The 25,817-nt window shown below is 38.8% G+C and overlaps 1 protein-coding gene and 1 long non-coding RNA gene across 18 annotated transcripts in view, besides 2 other annotated features; one reads left to right on the top strand and one right to left on the bottom strand.

The window, feature by feature from the left end:
* Window positions 1-5,325, bottom strand: part of LOC105369850 (uncharacterized) — a 55,530-nt gene extending 50,205 nt beyond the window's left edge. For both annotated transcript variants that reach the window (NR_188081.1, NR_188080.1), the window contains exons 1-2: window positions 4,994-5,325; window positions 2,869-2,932 (exon numbers count right to left, since the gene is read on the bottom strand). This is a non-coding gene — a long non-coding RNA (uncharacterized LOC105369850). The remainder of the gene's footprint in view (window positions 1-2,868; window positions 2,933-4,993) is intronic.
* A 130-nt stretch (window positions 5,326-5,455) lies between these two features.
* Window positions 5,456-25,817, top strand: part of OSBPL8 (oxysterol binding protein like 8) — a 207,975-nt gene continuing 187,613 nt past the window's right edge. For 12 of the 16 annotated variants that reach the window (NM_001003712.2, NM_001319653.2, NM_020841.5 and 9 more), the window contains exon 1: window positions 5,456-5,830. Coding sequence is in view for 3 of the 16 variants with exons in the window: in XM_047428247.1 (XP_047284203.1) it covers window positions 6,656-6,657 (2 nt within the window). In the remaining 13 variants the exon portion in view is untranslated. Of the gene's footprint in view, window positions 5,831-6,218; window positions 6,658-25,817 lie in introns of those variants that run through there. The other 4 variants (XM_047428247.1, XM_017018768.3, XM_047428246.1 and 1 more) reach the window with 1 other exon arrangement.
* Window positions 5,626-5,815: a silencer, noted in NCBI's record as "silent region_4671". NCBI's record gives its function as "represses an Ori minimal core promoter by ATAC-STARR-seq in GM12878 lymphoblastoid cells {active_cell/tissue: GM12878}" and the evidence as "EXISTENCE:reporter gene assay evidence [ECO:0000049][PMID:35858748]".
* Window positions 6,226-6,535: an enhancer, noted in NCBI's record as "active region_6678". NCBI's record gives its function as "activates an Ori minimal core promoter by ATAC-STARR-seq in GM12878 lymphoblastoid cells {active_cell/tissue: GM12878}" and the evidence as "EXISTENCE:reporter gene assay evidence [ECO:0000049][PMID:35858748]".

The raw sequence follows: 25,817 nt of genomic DNA, 5'->3' as shown, positions 1-25,817 counted from the left end.
CTCTTTTAGTTCTATTTGCTTTTTTCAAAATCTTCATTCCTACTTTAGTTTTTTGTTCTCTGCACATATTTTCAAACTTGTCTTTTATTCCTTTACTCATATTTAATATTGTTATTTACAGTCTGTGACCCCTTTTTTTTTTTTTTTTGAGGTGGAGTCTCACTGTCGCCCAGGCCGGAGTGCAGTGGCGCGATCTTGGCTCACTGCAACCTTCACCTCCCGGGTTCAAGCGATTCTCCTGCCTCAGCCTTCCCAGTAGCTGGGATTACAGGCGAAATTTTTGTATTTTTAGTAGAGATGGGGGTTTAACCATGTTGGCTAGGCTGGGCTCAAACACCTGACCTCAAGTGATCTGCCTGCCTTGACCTTCCAAAGTGCTGGGATTACAGGCATGAGCCACCACACCTGGCCCAGTCCGTGACTTGTAAATCCAGGATCTGAAGTCTTTTAAAATTTGTTTGTGCTGTCTTAAGTCTGTACTGTTTCTCACGAATGGTGTCTTATTCTGTGCTTGTTATTTTTTTTTAAATGTGAGCTGCTCATTTTCCTTAAAATTTTATTTATAGTCATTCTTTATGGCTTAAGATGAAGGTGGGTTCCTCCAGAGAGGATTGGTATTTGCTTCTGCCAGGTTTCTGAGAGCATTATCAGTCAAAAATTCATAATTACGCCTAGGTACAGTGGCTCATGCCTATAATCCCAGCACTTTGGGAGGCGGAGGTGGGCGGATTACCCGAGGTCAGGAGTTCGAGACCAGCCTAGCCAACATGGTGAAACCCCTGTCTCTACTAAAAATAAAAAAATTAGCTGGGCGTGGTGGCACGTGCCTGTAGTCCCAGCTACTCGGGAGGGTGAGGCAGGAGAATTGCTTGAACCTGGGAGGCGGAGGTTGCAGTGAGCTGAGATCATGCCACTGCACTCCAGCCAGGGCGACAGAGAATCCCTGTCTAAAAAAAAAAAAAAAAAAAAATCTTAATTATTAGCCTGAAGTTTTTGGGGACCACCCAGCTAGTATGAATTCAAGCTACGTTTTTGTGTGAGAATTGGATTGCAGTTCCAAATTCTCAGATACGATTTTGCTTTTCCCCTGTCCACCAGGTGCCAAGGTTTAAGACGGCTAATTTTCTTTGTAGATTCTGGGGGATGGGTGCCTATGCTAGTAAGCAGCAAGTTTATTTCTAGTATATCCTTACATCAAATTAATAATCCTTGGAATTGCAGTTGTTTGTGTGTGTGTGTGTGTGTGTGTGTGTGTGTGTGTGTGTATAATGCAGGTAATGGGTTTTGTGTCTTTCTTACAAGGTCACGAAAACCAATGCTCCTAGTAACTGGGTTTAGCACATGCCCTTGAGATAAAAGTTGGCTGACTCTGCTAAACTCTAGGTTCCTGCCTTCATTTAGTTTTTTAACTTAATAATTTCTTACCCTATTGTCAGTTAATCAATATATTTAATAAGATTTAAAAAATGTTTTTTCCAGGGATTTTGTTTTCAGTGTGACAAGTGTGAACTAGTCCTTGATATTTCTAGAAACAGAATCCTATATTCTCTTTATACTTTACTATCCAAATTTTCCTCAAGGGATATTTAAGACAAATAATACTAAACAGAAATATTTAAAATCAGTATGTAAATATCTTACATGCAAACATTTTGCATGCAAATTTACAGATTTTATAAAGACTGCTTCTTAACATAAATTTTAGGTGGATATTTACCAAATAGCTGGTTGACTAGTTTGTAGATGTCTGTTATTTATTTTATTAAATAGACAAATATTATTGTTCCACAGTACATTTAGCCTTTGACTCATGAGTTTGTTGGCTCAAATTCACTTTAGATGATTTGCAAGATTATGCTACGCAACAAACAATCTCAAAAATATTTGTGATTCACAACAACAAATATTTTTGTTTTACTCTTGTTTCACATCAGTAGCCGTATGTCAGGAGCTGCAAGTCAGTTGCTTCAGTTCTGTACAGGGTGAGAGTTTCAGGTCTGCTCCATCTATTTTCTTATTCTGAGATCTTATCTGGAACATACCTTTCTCATGGCAGGTGGCACAAGAGTAAGAGATTGACCTGAATTTTGCAATCAAATTTAAAGCCTCTGCTTTGATTTAGCATTTAACATCTGCTCACAAAGCACTGGCTAAAGCAAATCACATGACCAACAAGAATACAAGTCTTCAAAGCTGTGTTGAATACCTTATTTATGGCTGAGGTTGCTCTTAATCTAAATTCTCTTCCAGAAAATGAGGATTTTAGTCTAGAATCCTGATTAGTAATTGTCAGCAACATAATTGTCTAATGGGATAAGCCAAATGGAAAAAAGCAAACAACCTCAAGCAACATCTCTGTCATTCTAGGTCAGGGTTGAAATATACTGTGGGAAAGGCTGTCAAGCCTGTCAGTGCTTAAACTAATTTGGAAAGAACTTCCCATTCTTAGAAATGTATAATTAATAAAGCAGTAGGCAAAAGAGATGAATTCTCATTGGAGTTAAAATCGGATCGTTATAATAAAAAAGCTTTATTTCAAAATGTCATTCTTAAAATCATTGTAAGAGTAGCAAACTTGCAGGGCATCTCTGGGAGTTACTGAATATTTTTCAGTTACAGTGCAGGATCACATATTAGTTTCTGTTTATGTTGTCATTACATTGAAAATGCTAGATTGAATTATCATTCCTGGAATCACAATATCAGATTTGAAAGGATCTGAAAAAATGATTTTTCAACTGTAGTGGATTAATATATTTTTGTGTTGCAATCAGTTGTTAAGTATGTCAAAATCATTAGTTATTCATGACAAGTAACTATTATACTAGTGATAATCAAAGTAGAGAAGATTGTGAAAGATATACTTACATTTGTTTTGCAATATCTTCACTTTCAATTACTTGCATTAGGACTTTCTTTTTTTTGAGTGGAGCTGAAAGAAGTTAAACGTAGGCTGTCAGTAATTTGCATAATCCTGAGTATACCGTGTCTGTTTGTTTCCAATGTGATTGCCATCCACCGGGAAAAAAAAAAGGTGGTTTAGTATCATTTCTCAAACAGCATGTGGTCCTACTTGATTGGAACTTGAAATGCAGGGAGTAATTTATCTAGTCATACATCTCATTAGCTAAGTCTGTAACCTAGGCTTCCTTGCTTCCAGTACATTGCTTTTTCCAACAAATGATCAAATTTTCAAAAGCCAATGTATGAAATTGGGGCTGAGGCAGAAGAGAATTAGGCAAGGCAATTTGCCACCTTTTTCTAATCTTTAGTCTCAGTTTCCAAAGTAAAATAAAAGTACCAGAAAAACGGGGTCCAGATGGTGTATTTTGCATATTATCTATGCTCTAGGAACATTCTTTTCCAAATCTATTTGATTGCAACTCACAGTAAGAAATTGTTTAAATCACAACATAGGACATACTCTCACCTTCCACCATATTTGAAACAAAAAGTTTCAGGAAGCAATTTTTGCCCTTACTAGACATTATGCACTCTGGTATTTTATATTGTATTACATCCTAGCCTATTTCATATAAAAATGAAATTGATTTTTGAGTTGCAGGTTGAAAAACATGCCTCTAGAAAACAGGAGACAAGTTAATCTGTTAACAAACTCCAAAGTTACTAGCTTTGCTGAAATAATGTCACAGAATAATAAACTTCCTTCACATTTATTTGTACTACAGTCTCTCAGGCTTCAGAACAGAACCTGGTAGAATCTTTTCCTCTTTGGAACACCAGTTCATGACAATATCTCAGAGATTCTAAGACTCGTTGTTTCCCAGTTCATGACAATATCTCAGAGATTCTAAGACTCGTTGTTTCCCAGTTCATGACAATATCTCAGAGATTCTAAGACTCGTTGTTTCTGACATGTTTACATCTCTGAATTCAAGATGTGTCTCAGGCCGGGCGCGGTGGCTCATGCCTGTAATCCCAGCATTTTGGGAGGTCGAGGCGGGTGAATCATTTGAGGTCACGAGTTCAACACCAGCCTTGCCAAAATGGTGAAACCTCCTCTCTACTAAAAATACAAAAATTAGCTGGGCATGGTGGCGCATGCCTGTAATCTCAGCTCCTTGGGAGGCTAAGGGAGGAGAATCGCTTGAACCGGGAGGCGGAAATTGCAGTGGGCCGAGATTGCGCCTCTGCACTCCAGTCTGGGAGACAGAGTGAGACCCTGTCTCAAAAAAAAAAGGAAAAAGATGTGGCTTAAAGGTGCCTTACATATCAGCGGTATGGCATAGTTTCATTGGCAGCCTTTGTTTTCTTTCTTGGGTAACATAAAACAATGTAAGTCTATGATTTTTTTAGAGCTGCTATGAAATATATTAATAATAATTATATAGGCCAAACTCTATTGCTTATTCATTTCAATGTATCCAGCTTATCAGAATGCCTTCTGATTTCTTGTTAAGAAAATGTAATGAGATGAGAATAGCTTAAGAAAAAAATCCTTAGTTCTGGGCTACAAGGGAAAATGAGTTATGACCCCAATTTAATTATTACAGAAAGCTTTCTCATTTGCCTTCATTGTGATCAGGGTTTGAGTATGATCTTTATTCTACCTCCCTTACTTCTGTATAGTTAGGATTTCATTAGGCGGCTAGAGGGTTCTTCGGATCATGGCTAAAAAAGAAAGCAAAAGGTTAAGTCCTAGAGTTAAGGAATTAGGAAAAAAAAATTAAGGCATTAGAAAAAAAATCAAGAATTAGGCTTTATTTTAAAAAATGGAACAAACTGTCAAATTCCTGCGTACCCGTTTAAACTGTCACCAACCTAACACACTGTAAAACTTAATGACTGTAAAACTGGCAGCAGGATCCTGAACATAACAAGGAACAAAAATAAGTTTGCTAGGCTGTTTTCATCCCAGCATGATTGAAATACACCGTTTCCTCAAAAAAAAAAAAACCTCTAATGAGGAAAGCAGTAAATTAAATGCCACGGTTAATGTGCCACTAGAAATAGGAACAAGTAGTTTAGTTACCGAATGCTTCTTAGGCCATACACTCTACACCACGATGCGTTCTTTTTTCTGTTTCGCTAAAGCTTTCACCAAGCCTAAGGCTGGAGAGGGGTCCTAACTGAGCCCTGACCAGACCAGGGAGCCCTACTGTGCAATCTCCTCAGGTTAGGAAGGGCCCAGTATGACCGGCCCAGAAGGCCTGGCCGATCAACAGGCGCTGGGCCGACGGTGGTGGGCTCGCTTCCTGAGGCTGCCCTTGGGCATGCGGAAGGGGACTGGCTGGCGATAACACCCTGGCGAAGCAAGGTGGACAGTGACTCCCGCCCGGTTCGAGCCCGCCTAGCAGGGGAAGCAACTCCACCACCGCCTCCGCGCACCGTCACGTGACGGGAAGAGGGCGTGGCCGAAGCCCGTGATCCGGGGGGCGGGCGGGGCAGGGGGAGGGCACTAGAATGTGAAGGATCTTCGCGGTTCTGGGTGCCCAGAAAGGCGGCGACGCGGCGGATGACAACATTAGGCCGCGACGCGCTCCTGGCCAGGCGGCGGCTGTAGTGTTAGCTTTGGACGCCGCAGTAGCCGCTGCCGGTAGCAAGCCGACTGAGGGAAGGTGGGGGTCCGCCCGGGCTGGTGGACCTCGGGGCCGAAAGTTCCCGCCCCGCTCGGGGGCTGAGCCGGCAGTGCCTCCGCGGCCGCTGGGCAGCGCCCTTCGTCCAGGCTCGCGCCCCAGCTGCCGCCGACGACAGCGGCCGAGAGAAGTTGGGGTCTGACTAGACGCTTACGGGGCCTCGGACCCCGGCGCCGCGGCGACCTCGGAGGAACCGGCTCCTTGCGTCCCGCCTCCCTGGGAGCTCCGCACGGGTGAGTGTTGCTCCATTCCTGAGGTTGGGGTGCTGGGTTCGCACCCCTCAGGGCGACTGCGCACCCTTATTGCCACGTTCTGAGCTCGGGCTGTCGGGGACTCCTGGCCACCCCCGCCGAGGAGTTCTTTGGCTCCTTTGTTCCCTTTTGGAGTAGGGGGATTGGAAAGGCTGGCAGGGTGGAGTGTTTAGGGGCCCACAGTAGGTGCATCTGCAGCCTTACAAAAGCCGCGGCAGGGGAACGGGGGTGGGAGGCTGTTGGAGCATTTCGACCGCCCCGGGTGTCTGTCCCTCCTGAAGTTTGATAGGTTGATGGCATGGGCCTCGTTGGGAGCCCCCGCGCCCAGGAGAGCTGGCGCTTTGTCGCTCGGTGCGGTTAAGGCGAGGCTCCTTCTTTCCTGTGACAGCCCCAGAGAAGGCTGTGCCGCGCACCGCAGACCGCACCCGCCTTTGCAGAGCCAAGCGACACGGTGTTGTTCCTCTAAGCCTCAGTTCTCCCGGCCTTCTTGTAACGTAGGAGGAAAGCCAAGCCTTTGCTGTGCTTTTAAATTTAATGTTTGTTTCTAAGCCCTCTCTCAAGAGTGGAATCAGGTTCCAAGGAGCTTCACAGGCAGCATGCTTTAGGTTCATTGAACCACCCACTCAAGACTGGCTGAGGCGAAGCAACAGTATATGCAGATTTTCCATTCACAAAAGTCATTTAACACTCTTCTTTATGAGACACATCTGCGTTGCAGAACGTAACCTAATTTCATTTTATTTAAATGCTTTCTGAAATAATAGGTAACTTGGACAACGTAAACAGATGGGTAAACTTTAACTGATAATGTAAGTATATATGCATTAAATAAAAAATTTAATGATGTTTTTGCCTTTCTGCTGCTAGAAGACTTAAATGACGTCTGAGTAGTAATACAGTGTCTCCTGCATGGCAGTTAAGTTTTTCCCAAAATTAGTGCTGCTTTTGAAATAATCCTTTAAAACAGTTTTTGCCTCCCTTCGTATCTAGAGAGAGCAAGAATTGTGGAGAATCGTGGGTGAATTGATTGTTAAATTTTGCTAATTTCCTAGAGTTTCATCTAAACTTGATTTTGCTGAGAGGCTATGATCAGTTTCTATGCTTGCTAGAACCTGTTTTGCAGTGAAATTATTAAGATCATGCTAGTTTTATAAAATAGGTTGGAATAGGAAAAGTAAGGCCATGCAATTTAAAACTGTTCTCTATAAAAGTACAACTAATTTCAAATGTTTGTTACTTTTATTTTTTTTTAATATTAACCGTGTATGGAGTGACTATAATATACCTGCTCAAAGGGCTGAGAAAGGAAATAGATGAAACTTAAGCTACCTTTTGGGTCTTTAATTATGGACATCAAGTTATTGCGGTCACATTCCATGTCAACCGTTTGAACAGCAATACCGTGTACACAGGTGCTTAGAAATGCCTGTTTAATTAAAAATGGCCATGGTTTATTTCTCTTTGATTGAATCATAATAGTTATTGAATCTCTGATCTGTGGAAAGATGCTACTGTATTTTCCTTAGAATGTTACTGCATTTTAAAGACAGTCAAATATGTTTTTTATAACACATTCAGGGTACTTATACATTTGTCAATATTCAGTTCCTTGGTTCATTTAAAAATTGGAAGCCTTAGAAAACACTTTGGGGATAAATTTACAATTGTGTATAATGAATTTATGTTTTAGTTTGCTTTAAGAAAAATGATGAAATTATGAATTTGTAAAATATGCATTACAAAAGGATTTTTTTTTTTTTTTTTTTTAAGACTGTCTCACTCTGTATCCCAGGCTGGAGTGCAGTGGTGCAACTTGGCTCACTGCAGCTTCTGCCACCTGGGTTCAAGAGATTCTTATGCTTCAGCCTCCTGAGTAGCTGGGATTACAGGTGCGTGCCACCATGCCAGGCTAATTTTTGTATTTTTATTAGAGATGGGGTTTCACCATGTTGGCCAGGCTGGTCTCCAACTCCTGGCCTCAAGATCCGCCCGCCTCAGCCTCCCAAAGTGCTGGGATTACAGTCATGAGCCACTGTGTCTGGCGGATCTTTTGTTTAAAAGTATGAATTGCAGAATTTTAACCAGTGTTAGTACATTTCAACTTGGCTTTGGTTTGTAAATAATCCTTCAAAAGTAGATTACTTGAATTAAGGCATTAAAGACAAAGAATTGATACAGTACATAGATCTAGTTTTCTAATATTAATTTGGAAAACTTTTATCCTAATATTATCCTAATAACAATGCCTGAAATGTCATGTTGTAATGTTTGTATTATATTGAAAGTTAAAAACATTTATAGCAATGTTCTTGGAGCATCAGGCAATTCAAAGAGGACATAGGTCCTGCCTTAATCTTACAAATAATGACCTGCAAATAAGACAGAAACACAACTTGAATAAAAAAGCCTTTGAGAGGCCAGGCCCGGTGGCTCACGCCTGTAATGCTAGCACTTTGGGAGGCTGAGGTGGGCAGATCATGAGGTCAGAAGTTCAAGACCCGCCTGGCCAACATGGTGAAACCCCGTCTCTACTAAAAATACAAAAAAATTAGCTGGGCGTGGCAGTGTGTGCCTGTAATCCCAGCTACTTGGGAGGCTGAGGCAGGAGAATCGCATGAACCCAGGAGACAGAGATTGCAACGAGCCAAGATCATGCCATTGCACTCCAGCCTGGGCGATAGAGCAAGACTCAGTCTCAAAAAACACCAAAAAAACAAAAAGCCTCTGAGAAATATACAATTTTTAGTGAAGGTGGCTGGGTACAAGGAGATTAGTAGAAGTGCTTGACTGGAGCAGTTGTGGCCAAAGTATAGCTTCCTTGTGATGAGACACAGGAAGAGATGTCTAGACTCATGTTGTGTGCATATTTCATGGCAGTATGTGGGAAACCCCTGAGAGATTTTAGATCTTTCTTCCCACCTTGGTCCCCATCCCTCACATATCCTCACAAAGTCATAAAATTCTCATGTGGAAGGCGTGATAGAAGGAATTTTTCTTCCTGAAAAGTGTTATCAAGCTTGCAAGGGAGAGAGCTATTTTCGGAGACCTTATAGGGAAGAAATCCTAGTCCTAGAGCATCATATTCTTATACCCTGTTATTTTTACCTTTGTCGAAGATCCAGATAATGTAAATTCTCCATGATAGCAAGGACCTTGTCTGTTTTGCTCACCATTGAATCTCCAAATGTTCAATAGTTAATGAATGAAAAAAGTCTACTTCCAGATATATGACTGGAGAACAAAAGGAGTATCTGATAATGTAGTCCAAACTAAATGCAAGCAGCGAAATGATAAAGGAAGGATGTTAGCTTGGGAGAAGGGGAACAGGTCATTTAATCTGGGAAACTTTCTTGGAGGAGGTGATTCTTGAGTTAGGTTTTGGTGTGGGCTGTGTGTCTGAAGATAAGCAGTGTCTAAGGGGGTAGACAACGTGCAGCAAAGCATTTAAGTCAGACTGAATAAATTATGTCAGATAAAGCACAGTAAGTCTTTTTTTGTAACATTATGAAGAATTTTTATTCTCCCATCTCTATTTTCACCTCTCCCTAAATAAAAAGATTAACTTGCTTTGCAACAGCAGAGATTGACAGTACTTGAGTTTTGGAAGTACGATAAGGGTCAGAAAATTTGAATTGGTGTTCTGACTGAATCTTATACAAGCGTCGTTTCCATCGGCCAATCACTTGGTCTTAGTTTTCTCATTTGTAAAATCAGGATAATAATCCATGATCGTTGGGAGAACAAAGTTATATAATGCATGTGAAAGTGCATACCTCAATATGAATGTGCCTACCTCAATGTGTCACACATAGGAGGACTTCAGCAAATACAAAATTATTAAAACGTTTGTCTGCAGATCTTTAAAACATATTTTGATTCGTTTATCATGAACTCTAATATTTGCTTGACTCATCTAGATGACTCATGGCATTATGTTTAAATTGATCAGAATCAAAATTCTAGATAATTTTCTTTCAGTCAGTTTAATGTTTTCTGGTAGAAATGAGGCCTAATTGTATTACTGCTTAATGTTACAGACCACAAGGAGTGCTAGAAGCCTCAAATTTTTGAAGCTCAAAGTAAGGGATATGTGTAGCTGAAAATCTGAGCCTTTAAGCTTTTTTTCTCTACGTAATTTGTTTTTGAAGAAATTGTCTTTGCCTGTAATGTCATTTATCTATTCATTGTTGTGATGAAATAAGGGGTTTTCTGGTTGTTAAGAAAAAATTTACCAAAAATATTTTCTGTTTTTAGTGATGTGACTATAAGCCATGAAGATCTCTACCATCTGTGTTTTATTATAAAATTCAGTATTTCTTGAGCAAACAAACAGACATCTGCATTATTTCTTATCTAAGCTTTTTGTGCCAGTAGCTGTTCATTTATGAATCTCAGAATTTCATTATACTTTGTGAACTCTTTGTAGTGTTTTTGATCCATGGAGCAGTCTGTCCTTTGTATAATATTTGGAAGAGAATTTTATTATAAAAAGACTAAGAAGAGTCTTGAGCCTTTTTATTATACAAAGACTAAGAAGAGTCATCAAATGATAAGCCAGTTACCTACTAATTTCCATATTCAAAAAGGACTGAAAAAAAGAGGAAATGGTTTCAGAGCTTGACTTTTTTCAAATAAAAAGGAGAAGCTTTTTGATTTAGAGTTTTTGAAAACTTGATAGATTCAGAGGGAAATTGTTATAGGTCATATTAATAGCTAATGTGCGTCAACTGCTATATACCAGGTACTGTACTACTCTAGAAGTACTTGACATGTCATCACATTTGATCCTGACAACCACCCCGCAATCAGGCTATTTTCTTTTTTTTAAACCTGAGCAACTGACAGATTAAATAAGTGGTGGAGCCAGGATTTGAACTAAACCTGAGGCACAGAGAAGTTAAGTAGTAGGTGGTAGAGCCTACTAAAAGGATTTAAACTTGAGGTTTAACCTGACCTTTGACTTTGGAGCCTATCCTTTTAACCATCATATTATATACTGCCTTGTATAATTTATTTGCAGTTGCTCCTCTTGATACGTCTTGACCTTGTGATCTTCCTGAGTCTGTTTTAGTTGTGTCATTTACAAAATGCACTTTACTTTATAAGAAGATGGAATATAGCCTTGATTTTTTTTCTCTCATTTTACTTGTATTTGACTGACATCCTATTTTTAAATCTTAAAAATACTTAGAGTAAAGCAAATATTTATTTTATTGTTCATCCAGTTGCCATTTTCTCACTGGGGAATTTCAGAGAATTTCGGAGTAACTGGAAATTAAAGAACATAATAGATAACAGTATTTAAAGCTAAGTTGTTATAATTAAAAAATAGTTTTAAAGAATAAGGCTGATTCACAGAATTGGTATGCATTTTTTTTTAGTGTTTTTTTTTTTTTTTTTTTGAGATAGAGTCTCACTGTGTCACCTAGGCTGGAGTGCAGTAGTGTGATCTTGGCTCACTGCAACCTCTGCCTCCCGGTTTCAAGTGATTCTCATGCCTGAGCCTCCTGAGTAGCTGGGATTACGGGTGCATGCCACCATGCCCAGCTAATTTTTTGTATTTTTAGTAGAGATGGGGTTTCACCATATTGGCCAGGCTGTTCTCGAACTCCTGACGTAAAGTGATCCACCTGCCTCGTCCTCCCAAAGTGTTGAGATTACAGGCGTGAGCTACCTCCTCTGGCCTTTTTTTTTTTTCTTCTGATACAGGGTCTTGAGCTGTCACCTAGGCTGGAGTGCAGTGGCACTCACTACCATGGCTCACTGCAGCCTCGACCTCCCAGGCTCAAGTGATCCTCCTGTCTCTGCCTCCCAAGTAGCTGGGACTACAGGCGAATACCATCACACCTGGCTAATTTTTAAGTTTTTTTTTTTTTTTTTAGAAACAGAGTCTCACTATGTTGCCCAGCTTGGTCTTGAACCCCTAGCCTCAAATGATTCTCCCACCTTGGTCTCCCAAAGTGCTGGGATTATAGATGTGAGCTGCCATGCCAGGCCTATTTAGTGATATTTGAGGGACACAGATCTGTACAGTTGAAATCTGTCCTGTTGAGATGACCACCAGTAAGGTAATTTTTGCTTTTTGGCTGCCAAATGCCTACATATTAGCAGGAATAGTTTGTCAGATTACATAATTTTTTACAAGGAAGGCTGGGGCCCATGTGGAAATTATGGAATCTATGTTGGTATATTTTGATGGGATGGAAGTATGGTAGATCTGGAGAGAGAGAAGTTCAATCTAAGTAACATTATTACCGGGTAGAGTAATGAGGTGGGGTGCTTTGGATGTGAGGGCACAGGTACATTGTTCAAGTGGAGAGTAGGATGAGGGACTTCTGGAGACTAGCTTTGCTTAGTGTGTAATTTTGTGCATTGTTATGATTATAATAACTTGTAAGATCAGCAATTTGGAAGTAAAGAAAAGCAGTGCTGTGCATCATAGTGTGGAGTTTGTAATAGTTCTAGGCTGTTTTGCAAGATGTAGGTGCTTTACAAATATCCATTGGTAGTAATGGAAGTGCTCTGTCTTATCACCTATTTTAGAAATCTGGAGAGGCAGAATAGCACGAACCCTGGAGCCAGACTGCCAAAGTTCAGAACTGGTACAGCCACTTACTAGCCTATTGCACTGGCCCTATGCTGACTTGGGGTGGCCAAAAGGGAAGAAAATGGCATATTTAAGCAGAGAGGGGGCCAGAGATAGCACTCTGTGAGTTTTCCATGGTTCTTACATGGTCTGAAAGAGATCTGGATGTTCTCACATATGACTAGTGAAGGAAATAGAAGTTAGTAGAGTGAGAGCCAGGAAGCCTGTCATTAGGCTGCTATTGTGAGGGAGGGACCATGTAGTAGACAGAGGTTGTGGGAAGGGCAGATTCATTTCATTGCCCACAAAAATTTGTGCTCCCTCTTGCTTGCAACATTTTTTTTTTTTTTTTTTTTTTTTTTTTGGAGACATGGGGTATCGCTCTGTTGCTCAGGCCAGAGTGCAGTGGCAGGATCTTGGCTCACTGCAACCTTCGCCTCCTGGGCTCAAGTGATTCTTGTGCCTTAGCCTTCCGAGTAGCTGGTACTACAGGGATGTGCCACCGTGCCTGGCAAATTTTTTGTATTTTTGGTAGAGATGGGGTTTCACCATGTTGCCCAGGCTGGTCTCTAACTGCTGAGTTCAAGCGATCTGCCCGCCTCAGCCTCCCAAAGTGCTGGCATTACAGGTGTGAGCCACTGTGCCTGCCACTAGTTTTTCACTAGTGAATGTGAATAGAAATCAATTTGTTGTCACTTCTGGGTTGAAGTGGCAGAAAAAATAGGTATTCTTTCTTCACCTTCTCTTTTCTAATTCAAGGGCCAGATGCAGAGGTTTAGGCTCTTAAGGGATAGTAAAACCATAAGATTGGAATGTTCTACAGTCCCTAAATTTACCATGTGAAAGAAATTTGTGTACCAAATAGGAATACCCACAATGGATTGTAATATTAATGAGAAATTTTAATTGTGTGAAGCTACCGAAAATCTGGGGTTTATTTGTTAAGCAGCTAGTGTTGCCTTAAGTATAAGCCAGGGACTGGATAGACGAGGTAGTCGAGACTGTAATAATATCCGTACCAGCAGGAGCTGAGGTGGGTGGGGCCAAGTTAGGAGATCCTCTGGATACTGTTCCAACATATTCATCAGCATGTGCCATTGTGACTCTGTGAGGGCCAATATTCAAACCTTAGAGGCCTGTGAGGATCCCCAGGGCAATCCATGGGTCTGTATTCAGGCTAATCATAATACTCCAGATGCCCATGAAAGCTTTATCTTACGCCCAGTCACCATGATAAGAATGAGGAACAGAGAAAATCTATACAAGTCTGAAGAGTTTTCTTAAAGTAGGGTTTCTTAACTTGACTCTGTTGATATTTTGGGCTGGATAATTCTTTGTTGTGTGTTCCTGTGCATTGTAGAATGTATAGCACCATCCCTGGCCTCTACTCACTAGATGCTAGTACCATCTTTCTTAATTGTGACAATGAAAAATGTTTCAAGATATTGCCAGATGTTCCCTGGGGACAAGGTCACTCTCAGTAGAGAACTACTGCTTTAAAGATTGAGTGAATGAGTGAATCTGAAAGAAATGATTTTAAATGGAAAGAAACTATTATCCTTAATTAAAGAACTTTTTCCCCTTTTAGGGGTTGGGTAAGGTTCATGGGGAGCAGTTCATTTCTGTATATCCAATAAAGGAAGCTATGTTGTTTTTATAAAACATCCTAGTTTCTAGTGTGTGTGTGTGTGTTTTCCTCTCTTCCTTGATATACTATATATATGTTTGTATTATTTTTTGAGTGACAGAGTCTCCTCCTGTCTCCTGCACTCCAGGCTGGAGTGCAGAATTCCTGAGCTCAAAGGATCCTCCTGCCTCACCTTCCCCAGTAGCTAGGACTACAGGTTTGTGCCACTGTGGCTGGCTACTTTATTTTTTTTGTACAGACAGGGTTTCGCTATTTTGCATAGGCTGAATTTGAACTCCTGCCTCCCAAAATGTTGGGATTACAGGCATGAACCCTGGTACCCAGCCTTAATGTTGATTCACCTTTCTCTTTATCAGCTTTAGAAATTACTTGAATTTTCCATTTATTACCTTGTGATTATTTCTTCTAAACCAGTAGCTGTACTTTTTATTGGCTAGACTAAGCTTGTCCAATCCCTGGCTGGTGAGCTGCGCACGGCCCAGGACAGTTTTGAATGCGGCCCAACACAAATTCATAAACTTTCTTAAAACATAAGGAGATTTTTTTGTTTTTTAAAGCTCATCAGCTATTGTTAGTGTTAGTGTATTTTATGGGTGGCCCAAGACAATTCTTCTCTTCCAGTGTGGTCCAGGGAAGCCAAATGATTGGACACCCCTGGCCTAAACAAATACACGTTTTTTCCCCTGTAATCTCAGCTGTCATGTCCACAGGTTGTCTCTAAATTATGAAAACCAATAAATAGTGTTGATACCATGACTGTGTAAGTATTATTTAATGCTAAGCCAGATAATGTGCTTAGATGATTATTCCTTTTCTGTCCCTGGGCTGCCAGAAGAAACATGTTGATAATATAGAGAATTAGTAGACTTTATTTATTTTATCAATTCTGACCATCAAATTAAAAAAAAATTTGGATATGACCAAAATCTAACTTTGGAATTAAAAAAGTTTTTGAATAGGACTTCCTGTTTTTCTTAGTGTCTTAAATTGCCCTCTTTTCTTGTACTATATGCCTCTATTATAGCCTCCCCTACACCCCAGCCCCCCCACACCCCAACTCTTCAGCATACTGCCTTTTGTGCTGCATTCTCTATTTATCTGTATTTGTCTGTAACTCTGCCTCCATTTGGACTCTTCTAGGTCTTTTCTTGTAACTTCCTTTCTCCTTACTCTTGAATTGGATCCATTCTGTTATACATATTTTTTTTTCCTTTTTTTTTTTTGCATCTGCTTGATCTGTTTATTGGAGTACATCTTCAAATAACTCTTTGAAAAAGAAGTATGTATGAGAGGCAAACTTTCCGAATTCTGTGTAAAAAAGTCTCCATTCTATTCTCACAAATGATTGATAATTTGGCTGGGTACAATATTGTTAGTTAGAAATAATTTTCCTTTAGAACCCTGAAAGGATTGCTTTGTTGTCTTCTAGCATCTAGGGATGCTGATTAGAAGTCATACATCAACGCCTGTAATCCCAGCACTTTGGGAGGCCGAGGCGGGTGGATCATGAGGTCAAGAGTTTGAGACCAGCCTGGCCAACATAGTGAAACCCTGTCTCTACTAAAAATTAGCTGGGCATGGTGGCAGGTGCCTGTAATCCCAGCTACTTAGGAGTCTGAGGCAGGAGAATCACTTGAACCTGGGAGGTGGACGTTGCAGTGAGCCGAGATCAAACTACTGCACTCTAGCCTGGGTGAGACTCCGTCTCAAAAGAAAAAAAGAAGGAGTCATGTATCAGTCTGATTCACTATCCTTTTAAGGTGATTTGTTCTTTATTCTGTCTGAAAACTTTTAGAATCCGTTCTTTTGTATCTTCTACAAAGTCATAATGAGGTGTATAGGTCATTTTTGTTTTGTTTGGCTGTTTGTCTAGATACTCAGTTGCTCTTACAGTCTGAATCAGATTATTTTTCCAATTCCAGGAAACTCTTCTCTGTCTTTAATAATTTCCTCCCTTCATCATGTTTTTTGCTTTTCAGTAGGCAGTTGCTTTCTGTCTTGATCTTCCTTCTCTCATCTTTTATATTTTGTGGGTTTTTTTTCCCCTTTAGTATTTTGGCTGATTTTCCTGGGGGTAATCTGTAAGTTTTGTTGTTCTCTTTTTCTTTTCCCACCATTTTTACACTATGTTGTATTGTCGTCTTGAGTCTTAGAATGTGCAAATTAGATTTTTTTAAAGATACCTTGTGTCTCCTTGTGTCTAATTTATCTCCTTTTCTCCTCCGGTCAGTTTTTATGTTTGTTTTTGTAATCATTCTTTTTTCATGCTCAGTTTTCCTTATGTGCCTGATAATTCTTGGTTGTCCATTCATGGTTAAGAAAGACAGACTAGGTTCCTGGTCACCCTCCCTCCCCTGTTCCTTGGACTGTTTTCCCTATTAGATTTTTTTTTCTTTGAGTAGGAATTCTGGCCAGAGCACTTTGTGGGGCAAGGTAGTACAGAGTAGGATCTGTCTCTTGGCAGATTGTTTTAGGGTAAAAGAGAGAGGAGCTAGCTGCTAGGCTATGTATGGGCCCTTTAAATGCTGGATGAGATGTGTTTACTCTGTGCCACACCTCCGCTTAGCTTTCCCTAGATAGTGGTTCACTTTCTTTAGGGAAAAGCTGACTTGTTTTTTTGCCTGGAGGTAAAATGTCAGTTGTTTAGAAACTGCTTGGAAATAGGGGATGGGAGATATAGCTGTCCCTTATAGTTAGTCAAGTAATACTCAGTTCTCTTATTTTTAACCCTACTATTTATTTCCACCCTCTGCTGTACCATTTACTTTATAATCATGCTTTCCTGGGGATCTTCTCAGACGTATTGGTTCCCATCCTTTCCATGTCACTCTTAAAGGTTATAATGAGGCTGTGGCTTTTTCCGCTTGTTATTTCTATCAATCTCACATATACTTTCATTTCCCAGAAATTTGTTGGATTTTCTTTCTAGCCTCAATTTTAATTTCTTTACTGTTACGATTTTCTTTCTTTTATGAGTTGTTTTTATTTCAGTGGAGTATCTGGAGTAACTGAAGGGAAAGTTTGTATTTAGCGCCCCATCTTTTATTAGAAGTCTTCTTCTAGCTTCATAAACAGAAGAAACAGAGCCTATTGAACTATTTTTTTGTTAATGCAGATTTATTCATAGAAATTATGATGATCATGATACAGTGTTAAAATACACTTATGTCCCTTCACTATTGATTTGTATAGTTGTTTGTGCCTTTATGCCGCTTGGTCCTAAAACTTGAACTCTGAATTCTTGCTTGCTTCATAGTTTTTGTTTCCCCTTTCGTTGTCCCCTACCCCAACTTGCATGTTGTTATGATTATCTTGCCATTTCTTGTTTGCTACTTGGAAACTGAATGAAACTGTTTAGAATTGTGTGTAAAATAGTGACTTTGCTCCAGGGAATGGCATTTTAGCTTTAAACACATGACCCTTGTGGCATTTTAATTATTTGGAAGTCTTTTGTTCTGTTTCTCAAGTGTATCTAGATGGGTGAGGGGTTATTCTTTTTCATTTACTTCTCTGCCTCATGTGTGATAGCTACTTTGGTTCAGTAGTTGATATTTTTTCCTCCATTGCTTTTCCTTGTCTTCTGTGTTATCTTTGGTACTTTAAATGTTGAGTTTAGATTGCCTGGCAAGTTCATTGGAAGCCTTAATTTTCATTTGTTCCTTTCATTTTCTACTCATAAAAATTTGCTAGCATTGTTTTATTCTTTTTTATTGTTTTGTATTTTTTGTTTTTTTGTTCCTAGCATTGTTTTAAACTTGTCTTTTACTTCTTTTCCCATACTCCTTTTCATAATCTTCAGGCTCCATATTGATTGAGCTTAGAATACTATTGTAAATTAACCTGGGTAAATAAATTTAAATACATTCATCTAATTTCCCTCTCTTCTGTGATATTTCTGCATTGGCAGAATGCAAATCTTGTTTAATTCTGCTCTTAATCTTGTTTAATCGTTTTCAATTCTTTTCTCATAAGATTTTGAAGTTCTTTCTTCTACAGCTATGGTTTTGACTATTGGAATGTGTGTCTTTTGTAATTGGAGTCGTAATTCTCCTGCAGTCAGAGGTTTTTACACGCCAGATTTAAAAAATGCTGACTACTTTGAAGTTGAAAATCCTGTCAGAGGGGTTGTGATTTGGAAGGCTTAAATCCCCAAATTTGGCCTGATTATATAAGGTATTATAGAACTTTCATAGTAAATACTGTACTTGTTTGAAATTTAAAGTAGCTTAGAAAATAATTGGCCCCTTTACATTTTTTTTAAATTTGCTCATTGTCCAGGAAGTCAAAGTTTTAAATATTTTCTAATGTAGTGGACTGATTACTGATGATCTTGTTACCTTTCTCTATATTCTGTGAAACTAGCTCTTGATTTTAGATCAAGAAACTTTTAGAATCAAGTGGTTATATACCTCATGCTTTATTTTTTACAGGTATTCTAAACATTTTCCCTCTCAGATATCAGTTGTCATGATTAATTTCTTGTTGACCGATTGAATCCTTTATTCCTTCTATTATGTTTATAATTTTGATACTTTTTTTTGCTATCCCTGAAATTTTAAATAGAATCTTCAAACATCAGATTGTACACCTTAAATATGTACAATTTTTTTATATGTCAGCAATACCTTAATAATGCTGCTAGAAAATAGAATCTTCAGCATTATATAGATAATACTTTGAATGTTTTATAATATTTGATTATTTGGGAAATGATGGCTCTTATTATTTTCCCAAGAATTTATGATTAGGTTGTAGGAATTTAAAAAAATACCCTGTCATTACTGAGGGAAGATTTCTCTGTAAAAACAGAGATCCATTTAAGAGGTTGATTGTTTAACATAAATTTAACATGCATTTTAACTAGCAAGATTTTGTTTATTTGGTTATTTTGGAGGAGCTTCTTCATAATTCATTAATAGAGGTTAATAGTAAACAGTAGAAATTAGCATTTCCTTGACATTTTGATTATGCAGAAAATATAGATGTTTCTTGCTATAAGCAGGGAATTGGTTCCAGGACCCCCAACGTAACACAAAATCCGTGCATAGAAGTCCCGTAGCTGGCCCTGCGGAACCTGCGTATTGTAAATGTCAGCCCTCGACATGTGTGGTTTTAACATCTTACGAATCCAGTGTTTTCAGTCCTTGTTTGGCTGAAAAAAATCCGTGTATAAGTGGACCCATGCAGTTCAAACTCTTGTCATTCGAGGGTCAACTCTGTATGTTTTTAAAAATAATCACTAAGAATTTTTTCCTTGTCACGTTGATCAGAGTCTTTAGGAACAGGCTTTCAATATAAGAGTTAGCTCCATAGTTTCTCATTTTTTGGTAGTTATTCTTAATTCACAAATTATGTTGGTTTTCACAGTTCCTGTTTGAATAGGCATAGAGAAGTGTAATTAAGTGTCTTGGTTACTTACATTGTAAATTAGAGATGATGACTCCTCTGGTTGTGGTAATTTATACTTAGAATTCAAAACCCAGAAGCATCCTGGGCAGAGTTAGGCACTCAGATGCTCATTTTTGTTTCATGCCCAAGATAGCCATTCTTAGTCTGTATTGAAATATGAATAAATTTCTTTTGGGATTGAATATCAGTAATAAAATTCCTTGAGACTGTCTTGAATTAACTGTAGATCTTGCATTTCAAGCTTTGATCCTTAGTAATGAACCGTCAGCTTAAGTATGGGGATGATTTTTTACTTGTAGAAAACTGGGCAAACCTTTCTGGTTTATTATAACCAGATATCATACTTAATAAATGAGAAATTCATTAATTTTTTCCTAGTATCTTAGAACAGTGTTCATATTTTTCTTAGAAAATAACCTTTCAAGAAAATGGTCAAAATTTACATAGAATCAGGGTAGTTTTAGCTGTAACTTAAAATATCTAACTTTAAAAACAGACATTTAGTGTATAGGACTAAATTATTAATATATGGTTGCCAGTATCATATTTGCAAGCATTATCTTTAAGAGGCCTTGAGTTACTCTTTGAGACACCCTTGTCACAATGCGACCTAGTATCACAAATGCTGACTGATTTAGAGAACAGATGCACTGGGAAAATAAACCTGCAAGAAGTGTTATCTTTCCTAGTAAGTAACTGTGTGACCTTGGCAAACCACTTACTCTCTCTGGGTCCTAGTAAAATGGAGAGTTTGGAACCAATGGCCTTTTAGATTCTTTAGAGAGGCTAAAATTCCAATCAGGTAGTATATTATGTAATCCTTGTAATAGCTCTGAAATAAATAGATGGTATTCTAACTGTTTTACAGATGGAATTATTCCTGTTTTTTTTTTTTAGACTCAGTGTTTAAGTAACATGTTCAGTCATGTTGCTGCTAAGGAGCTAAGTGAGAAGTTGAACCTTCGCCTATTTCACTCTATAGCTGTTAAGTTCTTTTAGTATAACATACTGCCACCCAAGCCATGTTGTTTATATTAGACCATCGGATCTTATTCTTAAAATTTGTTACATTTCTTAATCTGAAGTTTATAATAAATGTGCTTTTGCTTTATAGCATGCGTCATTCAGGAAAATCAGAAGTCAGGTATCAGGCATGTCTATGAGTTGTGCCAAAGTAGAAATATGACCAGTTTTAAAATTATTATTCTAGAACTTATGTGTTTCTCTAAGAGATGGTCAGTGTGTTCAAAGTTACCTTATTTCAATAATATCACTATTGTTCAACAAACACTTTTGGAATAATGCATTTGACATTTCTTTACTGTCTTTCACCTCATTCTTTTAACCTACATTCTGTGGTGACAAATTATATCTTTTGAGAATGGATTTGGTATTTGGTATTTGGAAAAGGTGGCAAGTCTTTCTGAACCAAGTCTCACACATAAAATTAAGGATCAAAATGAAGAAGGCCATTTTTAGTATAAATAAGCAGTGACCGCAGGGGTGAAACTGTTTCTTCTTTTGTCATTTATGAGGTAGCTAAGAAAGTGGTTAGAAAAGAGGAGTTCCAAAATTGTTTTGTGGGATGGCAACTTGAAACTAGTCTCTGAAAGTGACTACTCTGAATGGAGATGACCTTTATTTGTATGTTAATTCTGCTGTATTAAAGTTATATCCTGAGTGTTACACCTGTTCTGTTTCCCACGTGTTGGTGCTACTGTGATTTGGCACTGTGCTGTAGAGAAAAGTGTTGGCGAATGAATTATTCTTCGTATGTTAAAGAAGATCAAAATCTATAGAACAATATTTACATAGATTTGAATGGTAATTTAATTCTGGTTTATATGAATATTTATTATGTAATTTGTGGTTATCCCTAGCTAGGTTTAATTCTGGGCAGCTACCCTGTCAGAGTATACTCTTTGATGCAGACTTACATGTAAGTTAAACTTTTTGTGAATAATTATCTTAGCTTATTTAATTATTAGTTGTATTAATAGTTATGTAGTTTGTGGTTATCCATGGCTAAGTTTAATTCCAGGCAGCTACCCCATTGGAGTGCACTCTTTGATGCAGGCTTATATCTAAGTTAAATTTTTTTGCAAAAATTATCTTAGCATTATATGTGACTGAATGGCTTTTGGATATCAGTGCTATACTTGGTGTAGATAATAAACTTGTGTGGGGAGTGGTAGAAAATCGACAGTAAACTCCTAATTGCACAATTCACTATGTAATTACCATTGTGGGAAGTGCTGAGAGGAAGAAATATATATGTAATATGTATGATAACATATTTATATATCTTGTTGCAGAGGAGCTTGTGATAGGGAGATTTCATTTTCTATTTTGAAGGTATTATTTTTCTTGTTTTAAACTCCCAGATGGTGGACTTTAATGAAGTGTCCTCATTTGTAAAAATTAAAGGATACTGAAAAATGCCTCTAGGACCTTTTTAATAATACTTTCCCCTTTGAGGTTCCAGAATAATTTAATGTTACAAGACCATTAATTCAATAGATTTCAGTGCAAGTTACTATGTAAGCGGCTGAAAATTCAGTAGGAGCTAGGCAGATGTGCTTGCTGACCTCTTCGAGCTTTTGTATGGGAAGTGGTAGAAGATCGACAGTAAACTCCTAATTGCACAATTCACTATGTAATTACCATTGTGGGAAGTGCTGAGAGGAAGAAATATAGGGCAATATAAGAATATGCACACCTAGTCGGGGAGGGGAGCCAAAGAAGGTGATGATCTGAAGGAGAAAAGAATATTTCTCGCAGAACATCTTGTTTAAAGATTTTGGAAGATCAAGGAACTTGGGCTTTGCTAAGAACTGAAAGAGTTCACTGTGACTGGAGTGTTTTAAAAAATATGAGAAAGATAACATTGTGGTATAGGAGGTAGGGACTGGATCATGTGAGGCCTGAGACCATGTTAAGGATTTTGCTTTTTGTCTTCAAGTCTCTTGAAAACTATTAGGGAATTTTAAACAAAGGAGTGAAATGGTCAGGTTTAGATTGATCTCTCTGGATGCTAAGTGAGTAGTGGTTTGGAGGGTGATGAGGGTAGATGCTGGGAGACAGTTTAGAGTACCTGTGGTTCATCCAAGGGGAGAATCCTGTAGGCCAGTGGTTCTAAAAGTACATCACTTGGGAACTTAGTAGAAATGCAGATTATTGGACTCCACCCCAGACCTGTAGAATCAGACACTTTGGGGGTGGGTGTCAGAAATCTGTTTTGGAGCAAGCCCTCCAGATGATTGTGATGCATCCTAAAGTTTTTAAAACTCTGCTCTAGGTCATTAGATATATGGTTTTTGAATGCAAGAGAAAGTTCTAGACTGGTGATATGGACAGTACCTGCACTGAAGGTGGTAGTGGAGAGTGTGATGAAGAGAAGCATCTCTACTAGAATGAAACCCTGAGATAGAGGGAGAGCTAGTGAAAGAGTCAAAGGATTGGTTAAAGAGACAGAAGAACTAAAAGTACTGGAGAGTCTTTAAAGGGAGGGAGTGGTGAAGTAAGCATTATGCTTTATTTTTTTATGTTTATTTTTATTTTTTTGAGATGGAGTTTCGCTCTTGTTTCCCAGGCTGGGGTGCAATGGCATGATCTTGGCTCACCACAACCTCTGCCTTCTGGGTTCAAGCGATTCTCCTGCCTCAGCCTCCCGTGTAGCTGGGATTACAGGCATGTGCCACCACGCCTGGCTAATTTTGTATTTTTAGTAGAAACAGGGTTTCTCCAGGTTGGCCAGGTGGGTCTCGAACTCCCAACCTCAGGTGATCCTCCCGCCTTGGCCTCCCAAAGTGCTGGGATTGCAGGCGTGAGCCACTGCACCCGGCCTACTTTTATTTATTTTTATTTATTTTTATTTTTTGAGACAGAGTCTTGTCATGTTGCCCAGGCTGGAGTGCAGTGGCACGATCTCAGCTCACTGCAGCCTCCACCTCCCGGGTTCAAACAATTCTCCCTGCCTCAGCCTCTCGAATAGCTGGGATTACAGGCACCCACCACCAAGCCTGGCTAATTTTTGTATTTTTAGTAGAGACAGGGTTTCGCCATGTTGGCCAGGTTGGTCTTGAACTCCTGACCTCAGGTGATCTGCCCACCTTGGTATCCCAAAGTGCTGGGATTACAGGTGTGAGCCACCTCAACTGGCCTATGGCCTATTTTTAATGTGGTAAAAACTGTTGAAGCAGTATGCATTTACATCTAAATAATTTTTATTATTTAATTATTATTATTATTATTTTTTGAGACAGTCTTGCTCTGTGTCACCCAGGCTGGAGTGCAGTGGCACAATGTCGACTCACCGCAACCTCTGCCTCCTGGGTTCAAGCGATTCTTGTGCCTCAGCCTCTTGAGTAGCCTGGATTACAGACGTGCACCACCACACCTGACTAATTTTTGTGTTTTTAGTGGAGATGGGGTTCACAGTATTGGCCAGGCTGGTCTCAAACTGCTGGCCTTATGTGATCCACCTGCCTCGGCCTCCTAAAGTGCTGGGATTACAGACATGAGCCACCGCGCCTGACCACATCTAAATAATTTTTAAATTGCAAATACTTATTTATTACAAATACTTTCTATTGCTACTGTAGATTTACCATTATGGTGTAAGGAATTGTGCCATCTTCTTGCGTTATGTGTCTTAGAGAAGCTGGGGCACTAGGGATAGTAGCCGTTGGTATGAAAGATCAGGAGCTCTGCTCTTTTTGGTCTACCCTGAGATTATTTGCTAGCTGTGTTTTCTTTTTCTGTTACTACTATGTATCTAAAGGAAAAATGTTTTTAAATGCATTTTATAATTCAGACTTTTACTTTTCTTGATTGCTGTAACTTGTTAGAATAATTCTAATATGTTAAGGTTTTGCTCTTCTTAAGGGAAGACCACATTTGATGTGAAAAGTAATTTCAAGGTTAATCTCAATTACAAATAATATATTTGGAGTTGTGTGCATGTGTATGTGTGTGTGAGAGAGACTTAAGCCATTTTGGGATAATTTTCTGCTTGAAATGTGTTTGCTTGTCTGAAGTTTTTTTTTTTTTAAAGAAAAAATATGATTATTATATCAATGTGTGCTCAATATAAATTCCAGCAGCTATAAAAACTCATTAAGTTGGCTTCTGTTGCCACCACTTTATGTCTGAAATAGCCCACCTTGTTAGCAGTTTGGTGTTATTCTTCTAGATTTCTCTCTCTGTACACACACACACACACACACACACACACACACACACACACGACTATATAATTTTTTTAAAAACAGAACTCGTATTCTATTGTAATGTTGTTTTGCAGTTTTTCTACCAATCAATACATCTTAAATCTAAAAGTCAGATTCCTAATAATTCCTCCCATTGATTGCGTGTATTTTATTCTTACAACCTTAGACTTAGACTCAAGAGACCTTGGTTCTGGTCTCTTGCCCTGGGATCTTGGGCAAGTAGTCACTTAACCCTTTTGTGTTCATTTTGTGATCTCTAAAATTTATGGTTATTGAGAGGTTGACTTGAAGTGTCTTGATAGCTCTAGAATGCTGTTAAGGAATGCCAGGATTTCAAAGTGCAGATGTTTTCTAGAATTTTATATGAAAAGTAATGATCTCAATCTAGCTGTGAACACTTAAGGGGATAAGCTTTGCCAAGTTAAAAACACAATGATCGGGGGAGGAAGGATGTTAGAAACAAGATTCAAAAAGATGATTTCTTATCATTTACTGGTATACTCAGCAGGCATGCCTACTGCTTTTAAGATAACAATGACCTAAAAAAAGAAGCTTCCTTGAAGCCGACTGTTTTCTGACTGAAAATCCAGACTACTTTTTTAGGGGATGTGGGATGTGTATGGGTCTATGTTTGGTTGTACCCGTTGACTGCTCATGGGAAGTTAGACAAATGGCACTTACGGCCTGCTCAGCATTCTTTGAGGGATCGTGCTATCTTCTTGTATAAGTGTCTTAGAAAAGCCGGAGCACTAGGGATAGTAGCCATTGGTATGAGACCAGGAGCTGTGCTCTTCACTCTTCGGCTTTTTATCGTGAGATTATTTGCTAACTAAAGTTTTCATGAAAAATCTTAGGAGGGAAAAGCAGTCTTTGAAGAGTGTTTGGGTAAAGGTGTTCATTTTTTGAATTAACATTGCTACATTATTAATATTACGTTGATTGAAAGATGGCTTTTGTTTTCTTGCTTTCAGTGTCTTAAGTTGCTGATGTTATTTTGTTTTAGTTTTTCATTTGTATTTCCTTTTATTTTTATCTGTTTTTATCTTTGTCCATAGTCTTCTTAGTACATTGACATTTTGTACACTCTTATTCTTA

This window comes from Homo sapiens, chromosome 12, assembly GCF_000001405.40.
Source record: "Homo sapiens chromosome 12, GRCh38.p14 Primary Assembly".
Lineage (NCBI taxonomy): Eukaryota > Metazoa > Chordata > Mammalia > Primates > Hominidae > Homo > Homo sapiens.
Note: the sequence above shows the minus strand (reverse complement) of the source record. Positions and strands in the feature narration are given on the sequence as shown.